The sequence below is a fragment of the Homo sapiens genome, chromosome 13 (assembly GCF_000001405.40).
Source record: "Homo sapiens chromosome 13, GRCh38.p14 Primary Assembly".
In the NCBI taxonomy this organism is placed as follows: Eukaryota; Metazoa; Chordata; class Mammalia; order Primates; family Hominidae; genus Homo; species Homo sapiens.
The window spans coordinates 60,588,882-60,598,665 of record NC_000013.11 but is presented as its reverse complement, the minus strand read 5'-3'; positions in this window follow the sequence as shown (position 1 = coordinate 60,598,665).

The window sequence follows — 9,784 nt, the reverse complement described above, 5'->3', positions numbered from 1 at the left end:
TTCTTCCTATCCATGAACATGAAATGTTTCTGCATTTGCTTGTGTCATCTCTGATTTCTTGGTGCAGTGTTTTGTAATTCTCATTGTACAGATCTTTTACCTTCCTGATTAGATGCCTAGATATGTTACCCTTTTTGTGGCAATTGTGAACATTACTGATCATTAAAGAAATGCAAATCAAAATCACAATGAGATACCATCTCACCCCAGAGTGGCTATTATTAAAATGTTAAAAAATAACAGATGCTATTGAGGTTGCAGAGAAAAGGGAGCCCTCATACACTGTTGGTGGGAATGTAAATTAGTTCCACCATTCTGGAGAGTAGGGTGGTGGTTTCTCAAAGAGCTAAAAACAGAACTACCAGCAATCCCATTACTGGATATATACACGAAGGAATAAAAATCATTCTACCATAAAGACACATGCACTCATACGTTTATTGAAGCACGATTCACAATAGCAAAGACATGGAATCAACCTAGATGCCCATCAATGACAGATTAGATAAAGAAAATGTGGTACATATGTACCATAGAATACTATGAAGCCGTAAAAAAGAATGAGATCAGCTGGAGGCCATTCCCCTTAGCAAACTAATGCAGGAAGAAAAAAATCAAATACACCATGTTCTCACTTATAAGCGGGGGCTAATGATGAGAACACGTGACCACAAAGGAGGGGAACAACAGACACTGGGGCGGACCTGAGGGTGGAGGGTGGGAGGAGGGAGAGAACCAGAAAAAATAACTATTGAGTACACTAGGCTTAGTACCCGAGTGATGAAATCATCTGTAAAACAAACCCCTGTGACATGAGTTTACTGATATAACCTGTGCATGTACCCTTGAATCTAAAATAAAAGTTTTTTAAAAAAGAAATTATTGCTAATAATTTTGCCAATTACACTATTAGGATTATGCTTTTTAAAGAGTTCCTTTTTTTTGTAATACAGACTGAAATATTTGTGAGTGAAATGATATGCTATCTGGAATTGCTTCAAGTTATTAAGAGTGGGGAGTCAGTGAAGGTTTAGATGAAACACAGTTGGCCAAACACTGAAGCTGGGTGATGGGTGCCTTAGCCTTTATTGTTTTTTTTTTCCTACTTTTATGCATGTTTAAAATTTTCCATAATAAAACGTTAAAAGAGAAGGAAAAACAATTGTTATAAAGACCAAAAGATGAGTGAGTTTCAACAAGGAAATGATCAAAAATGACAAAGCTATTGAGAAGTGAAGTCAGATAGGCAGAGTTCATTTGCTTTGATGATTTAGAAGACAATTATTCATTTCTTGAGCAGGTATTATGTTCTTGGCACTGCTCTGGGGACTGGGCACACAAGGGTGAGCAAAACAGACAAAATCCCTACCCTCATACAAGCTTCCTTCTAGTGACACAGATACCTTTGTCAGAAAGAGTTTCAGTGCTGTGTGAAGCATAACTGTCTAACAGCTGTTGGAGATAGAGTTACTGGGGGGGTGAGGAAATAAATTCAAAAAGGTAGAGTGAAATTTTCAAGGGGAAGAAAAACCACAGTGCTATGGTTAAAGGATTTTAAATATATAAATGAGAGAAACTTGAGAATGTAAGCAGGCTATGGGGTGAAGGCAGGAGAGAGAGAGAAATGGTAAAACAAAATAATCGATAAATTCCTGGAATAGGTGAGAGGGAATTGAATTGCATCTGATCAGAGTGGAGGTGTCTTTTTTGCTATTAAAAAAGTAAAAAGACCATCTTTCCTTACATTTAAAGGAAAGGAGGTGAAGGTGGATTCTGTGGAATGGAACTAGGCTCAGAAAAATTAGCCTGGCCCAAGTCACATGCATCATGCAGAAACTGGACACAGATGTTCTGACTACTAGGCCACCTGGAATGATCCTCCCTCCCTTCAATCCCACCTGCCACTTAGGTAATGCCTGTTTATATTTCATTCACTTCCTCAAAGGGCATTCCAGAATCCATAGTTTGAATTAAGATTCAATGTATAACAGTTAGAAATGCATTCAGCTGCAAGTAGCAAAAACCTTCAGTAACAGCAGCTGACAAACAACAAGAATGCCCATTAATAATGACACTAAGGCTCTAAGCTTGCTCCTTTCTTCTCCTCTACTATTTTCGCTTGATGTTTCATCCTCATGGTCACAACAGGGCTGCTATAGCAACAAGCAGGAAGAAAGGGGAAAAGACAGCGCCAGATGCATCTGTCCTTTTTACCAGAGAAAGCACAGTTTTTTCCCTGAACTCTCTAGCAGACTTCTGCTTGAACATAGCAGCCAAAAATATGTCACTTGGCCATTCCTTGCCACCAAGAGGCCAGAGAAACTGAGTACTTCAGTTTGCCAAACAATATACTAGGTATGGAAGACATCTGAAATTTTGCTGGTCAAGCATCCCTCCTTTTCCCCTTCTTTTGGCATCAGAACCTTGATTTTCCCTCAGGGCATGGCCTCTCCCCCAGTGCGTGCAATTCTTGGTAGGACCATCAGTCAAGATGTCCTGTTCCTCCAGCCGAGATGTGGGAAGGGATTCAAGTTAATCCATTCTCTTGTCTCCTGAAAAATTGAATCTTAAGAAGCAGATAACCATCAGACAAAGGTCTAATATCCAGAATCTACAAGGAACTTAAGCAAATTTAAAAAAAAACAAAACAAAAAAACCCCATCAAAAAGTGGGCAAAGGATACGAACAGACATTTCTCAAAAGAAGACATTGATGCGGCCAACAAACTTATGAAAAAAGCTCATCATCACTGGTCATTAGAGAAATGCAAATCAGAACCACAATGAGATACTGTCTTATGCCAGTCAAAATGGTGATTATTAAAAAGCCAGGAAACAACACATGCTGAAGAGGATGTGGAGAAATAGGAATGCTTTTACACTGTTGTTGGGAGTGTAAATTAGTTCAACCAATGCGGAAGACAGTGTGGTGATTCCTCAAGGATCTAGAACCAGAAATACCATTTGACCCAGTGATCCCATTACAGGTATATACCCAAAGGATTATAAATCATTCTACTATAAACACGCATGCACACATATGTTTATTGCAGCACTATTTACAATAGCAAAGACTTGGAACCAACGCAAATGCCCATCAATGATAGACTGGATTAAGAAAATGTGGCACATATACACCAGGGAATACTATGTACCCATAAAAAAGAATTCATACCCTTTGCAGGGACATGGATGAAGCTGGAAGCCATCATTCTCAGCAAACTAACACAGAAACACAAAACCAAACACCATGTGTTCTCACTCAAAAGTGGGAGTTGAACAGTGAGAACACATGGACACAGGGAGGGAACATCACGCACCGGGGCCTGTCAGGGGGTGGGCGGCAAGGGGAGGGAGAGCATTAGGACAAATTCCTAATGCACGTGGGGCTTAAAACCTAGATGACGGGTTGATAGGTGCAGCAAACCACCACGGCACATGTATACTATGTAACAAACCTACACGTTCTGCACATGTATCCCAGAACTTAAAGTAAAATTAAAAACAAGAAGAAGCAGGAAAAAGGATGAAAAGATTTGGAAGCCTGGAAAGACTCTCTGTTGTTCCCACTGCTAGATGCCTGGAGCTTTCCTGGTTCTTCTCCTGGTAGTCACCTTGGTTCAGCTTTTCTTTCTTTTCTGTTATTCATACCTTTACCATCACATTTTTTACTTGTATTTCTTTTGTATGTGTGTGTGTTTTCTTTTTTTTTCTTTTTTATATTTTACAGTCTGAATATGTTCATAGTGTTTGGTTTTTTAAGGAACACAGTCCCATTCTATTGACTAGGTTGGAGGGCAGTGGCACAATCATAGTTTACTGCAACCAAGAACTCATGGGCTCAAGCGGTCCTCCCACCTCAGCTTCTCAAGTAGGTGGGACTACAGGTGCAGGCCACCATGTTCAGTTAACTTTTTTTTTTCTTGGAGCGAGAGGGTCTCACTATGTTGCCCAGGCTGGTCTTGAAATCCTGGCCTCAAGCAACTCTCCTGCCTGGGCCTCCCAAAGTGCTGGGATTACAGATGTGAGCCACCATGCCCAGTCCCTTTACCATACATTTTAAAAATCATTCTATTCCTTTTATGACTGCACCAAAGAAGCCTGACACAAGTGGGTATTTAATAATAATTTGTTGAACGATTATTGTTTTAACTAAAAGTAAAATATAAACCAGAGAATCCTGAAACCAAAAGGAAATAACAAAATAAGTAAGATTCCAACTTTCATTTCTGGCCAAACTTACTGATTTATGTAAGTTTTACTTCTGAGACTACAAAATGTTCCTCTTTGCCAATCTCTTTATCTTAAATATCAGTGATTATACTTCTCTAGATGTGATTTAATCTCTCACGGTGTTTCTATCCCAATTTCCCCTGTCTGCGGAGCCCATGCCCTCTTTGTCCTCTTACCTCATTTCCTTTGAAAGGTGTCAGTCATCTCCAGACAAGCAGTTATCAAAGGAATTTCTTTTTCACACAAGTCTTTGTGAGTTGTCAGAATGAGCCTCTGAGGGATGTTATATCACCGCCTGCAACTCCGAATAGTGCATTTTCTTTTCCTCCAGGTTTGTCTCCTAGATTTACGGTTTTAAGGTCATATTTAGAAACCTTTTGTTCACAGCCAAGTTGTCTCTAAATGTTCCTCGAGCTCCTAATTCAGCCTGATAGAAGGTTAGAGGTGAGAGGAACTTTGGAGATATTATCTTCCGCCTCCTTCCCTTTGTGGAAGAGGACAGGAGGCTCGGGGTGATGTGACTGCTCCAAGGTCATGCACCAGGCTGTCAGCATAGCTGGCATGAGTGCCTGGTCCACGGATTTCCCAGCTGTTAATCTTTCCACCAGACTACTCTGGTTTCTTAATTTTTACCTTTGTTGATTCTCCTCTAGAACCCTACATCCTTTAAGATATGAAAGTACTTTATCTTAAATATTCTTCCTCCAGTCCCTTCCTCCAGTCTTATTATTTTTTAACCCCTGCTAAAAGGTGTTACAGGTAGGCTTCTCCTGGAAACAGACCTGAGCTGGGATTTAATGCACGTGTTCATTAGGGAGGGCCTTGGGACAACCACCTGTGGAAGCAAGGGGTGAAAACAAAAACGGACAGAGAGGCCGGGCGCAGTGGCTCACGCCTGTAATCCCAGCACTTTAAGAGGCCGAGGAAGGCAGATCACTTGAGGTCAGGAGTTTGAAACCAGCTTGTCCAACATGGTGAAATCCCATCTGTACTAAAAATATAAAAATTAGGCTGGGTGCAGTGGCTCATGCCTATAATCCCAGTACTTTGGGAGGCCGAGGCGGGTGGATCACGAGGTCAGGAGTTCAAGACCAGCCTGGCCAAGATGGTGAAACCCTGTCTCTTCTAAAAATACAAAAATTAGCTGGGCATGGTGGCGCACTCCTGTAGTCCCAGCTACTCAGGAGGCTGAGGCAGAGAACTGCTTGAACCTGGGAGGCGGAGGTTGCAGTGAGCCAGGATCACGCCACTGCACTCCAGCCTGGGCGACAGAGCGAGACTCCATCTCAAAATAAATAAATAAATAAAATAAAAATTAGCCAGGTGTGGTTGTGAGCGCCTGTAATCCCAGCTACTCAGGAGGCTGAGGCAGGAGAATCGCTTGAACCTGGGAGGCGGAGCTTGCAGTAAGCAGAGATCGCTCCACTGCACTTCAGCCTAGATGACAGAGCGAGACCGTTTCAAAAAAGAAATGGGCAGAGAGAAAAGTTAACTTGCAATGCAGACCCTAGAGAGTTTTGGCCAAGCCCACGGAGAAGCTCTGGAGCTAGAATGGCCCTTCAGAGTTGCCCCCAGCCAGGCAGAGATGGCCGGCCCAGTCCTTGGGTGTGGCCACCCCCAAAAGATTGTGACCCTGGGCTGAGGTAGCTCTCTACGGCTGAGACTATCCCTGGATGGGTTGAGAGCTGAAGGCTATCCACTGACAAGCCTGGCAGCCTAAGTAACAAGCCTTCCTTGAAGAGGGATCTGGAGGATGCATCGCCACACCCATCATAGACACCGTGATGCCCCTTCTCCGCAAGAACTCACACTTACTGACAGCTTGCTCTGCGCGGCATTATCCTAGACACTTCTCATGATCCCTGCCCTTGAGGAGCCTATAGTCTGGTGGAAGACACAATACATCATGATGATAATGAGAAGCACAAAATTATACACATAAAGGTAAACAGACACACAAGAATGATGAGATTTACACACAGACACGAAGAGGAAGGGGTGCCTGACTCTGTATGGGGAGGACGCAGGGAGACACTGGAGAGGGCCCAGAACTGAGCAGCCCTTGCCTTTAGCGAGAGGAACCAGCTCCGATTTACACAGTAAAGTCTTCATTCCTTCTTCCCATTTAACGCCTCTCTTTCTTTCTCCACCAATAACTTTCACTGAATACAATCCTCTTAATTTCATTTCTCACTGATTTCATGCATTTTCCTGATTTCTTCTAATGTTTATGGAGCCATTTTTCTCTATCTAAAAAGCTAGTCCCTTGGCCTATTTTAAGTTAAGCTTTAAAACCTCATTGTTTCATGACATTTTTGCGTACTCACCGCAACTGTACACCTGGAAAACAGCATTTGCAAGGGATCTATAGACTTAATGAGTTCAGGTTTTAAATATGTACATAATTAAATTTCTGATCTTAATGAAACACATTATGGACTAAATGCTAAGTAGAAATAATATCATGGAAAGGAAGGGGAGTGGGGAATGGAGTCAGTTAACAAGTATTTACTCCTCAGGAGATTTCTAACAGATTATGCTGCCAGATCTGAAAGGTTATATCGCAAAATTTACAAAGGAAATATAATCAGGAAATGCAGAATTGAGACTTAAAATTCTGTGGCCTAAAACAAAGGGAAAAAAAGAAAAAGAAAAACAACTTTCCACATTCAGCATTGAGAATTGGAAGAAAGCAATACACCACAATGCATTTGAAAATCACTGACAAATTGTTAGCCTCCTCAGAGAGCCTGGATGCTTTCCAGTTGCTGGTGGAGCTGGCCTCAGACACACACAATGGAAGATCATCGATAAGTCTAGCGTGCCAAGCCACTGCCTCACTTCCCCGGGGAACTTACCACGCACGATGCGTACGAGTGAAGACAAACCTCAAACCCACAAAACATTGCACTGGAACACTTTCAAGCCAGGCACTTCGACTGCACATTGGCTGCAGCCTTTTGGCAAGTGACAAATGGAAAGCACCCCGGAGCAGGTACACTTCCATGCCAAGAAAAGCCTGTGCAGTCTGGGACCAAAAGGGTTCTTAGCCTGGAGGGCTCCGGTGGGGTGGGTGGGGGGTGGTTAGTAAGATGCAATAATTATACTGAGTCAAAGTCCTCTCTCTCCTTTGAAAGCGCGTCAAGCCCAATCTGCATTTGACAGCCTGTGACAGTTTGTAATACTATTCACTAAAATTTTGAGAAGCGGAGGTGGAATTTTATCCAGCTTGCTCAGCCTCACCTGGAGGGTTTGGTAGATGTCCCAGGACACAGAATCTCTCTGTTAGATGCCAACGCAGCTTCCGAGTGGTTTGACCTTTACATCTGGAATCCCTTTTCCCCAAAGATGAATTATAGCCGAATAGCACAGCTGAAAGGTGTGGCAGGCCTCTCTAAATCCGTTAATTATGCATGCTCCTGAGAGGAGGAAGCAGACAATTATGCAAGTTTAGATTTTGGCATCTGTCTCTATTGCCTCTGAGTTCGGAGAGTCATACCACAACCTTGAAGAGGACTTTGTGACATAGAAAGCCAAACCTCAACCTCAAGCACTAGGTGCTAGTAGAATAACAGAAAACAAGTAGCTGTGTGTCTGTGTCTGGGTCTGGGTCTGGGTCTGGGTTACAGGGAATGCAAAAACAAAGCCAGGTAACCAAATATCCAGTAGTGACCAGAGACTGAACTGTTTGCACATAAACACTTTCAACTTAAAAAGTGATTTAATTTTTTTTTTTTTTTTGAGACAGTCCTGCTCTGTCACCCACGCTGGAGTACAATGGCACGATCTCGGCTCACTGCAACCTCCAACTCCCGGGTTCAAGTGATTCTCTTGCCTCGGCCTCCCAAGTAGCTGAGATTACAGACAACTGCCATCATGCCTGGCTAATTTTTTTGTATTTTTAGTAGACACAGGGTTTCACCATGTTGGACGGGCTGGTCTTGAACTCCTGACCTCAGGTGATCTGCCTGCCTCAGCAGTTATAGGATTATAGGCGTGAGCCACTGAGCCTGGCCAATTTAATTTTTTTTTAAAAAACAGCAAATTGTTTACAAATGTGGCTTCAGTGCAGGTTGCATTTGATATATGTGATTTTACTTGAAATTACGTGAATAAACCAGAGACTTGAATACGTGAACCCTGAATATCTGAGACAGGTCTCAGTTATTCTAGAAAGTTTATTTTGCCAAGGTTGAGGATGCATGGCCGCGACACAGCCTCAGGAGGTCCTGGCAACATGTGCCCAAGGTGGTCAGGGCAGAGTTTGGTTTTATACATTTTAGAGAGACATGAGACATCAATCAGCATGTGTAAGATGAGCACTGTTTTGGTCTGGAAAGGCAGGACAACTGGAAGCAAAGGGGGAACAACTTGAATGGGGAGGAGGCTTCCAGGGCATAGGTAGATAAGACAAATGGTTGCCTTCTTTTTAGTTTCTGATTAGCCTCTCCAAAGGAGGCAATCAGATATGCATTTGTCTCAGTGAGCAGAGGGGTGACTTTGAATCAAATGGGAGGCAGGTTTACCCTAAGCAGTTCCCGACTTGACTTTTCCCTATAGCTATGTGATTTGGGGGCCCCAAGATTTATTTTCCTTTTACAGATATTAAAAAATTAGATCAGAACTAAAATAAATCAGATGAATGGAGTAGAATTGAAATTTTTGGACTACCTACCATGTGCAAAGTACTGTGATTTGCTTATTTTAACTTGATGAATTCTCAGAACAAACTTGTGAAGTAATACAACATGTTCCACAGCAATATAACATACAAGTAATATAATATGTTCCATATGGACATTAATGCATGGGAGGTTTAAGTAGGTTGCCCTGGGACTCAAAGATAGTACAGAGTAACACCAGGCACTACTATTTGAACCCAGGTATTCTGCGTTCAGAGCTCAAGCTTTTTTCTCTCTGTCTTTCTATTTCCTTTAAAGTAAAATGCTACCTCCAAATTTGTAACTGCCCAATGAGTTCACCTCAACAACTGCCTAGACAGAGCCGAATTTATCAAGATAGGGGAATTACTATAGAGAAAGAGTAATTCATGCAGAGCTGACTGTGTGGGAGACCAGAATTTTATTATTACTCAAATCAGTCTCCCTAAAAACTCAGGTATCAGAGTTTTTAAGGATAATTTGGTGGGTAAGGGGCCAGTGAATCCGGAGTGCTGATTGGTTGGCTCAGGGATGAGATCATAGGGAGTCAAAGCTGTCGTCTTACGCTGAGTCAGTTCCTGGTTGGCAGGTCCAGGTGGGGCTGTATGGTTTTTAGAAATGCAAAAACCTGAAAAGACATCTCAAAAGACTCAAAATAGTGATATTACCTTTAAGAGTAATTGAGGAAGTTGCAAATCTTATGACTTCCAGAATAATGGCTGGTAATATTTTGAATTCCAGCCCTTCTCATTCTAACTTGGTGGCTGGTAGCCTTTCATTCATTTTACAAGAACAGTTTAGCTTTTGGGAAGGGCTATTATTGTATTTAAACTATAAACTAAATTGCTTCCCAAGGCTAGTTCGGCCTACACCCAGGAATGGACAATGACA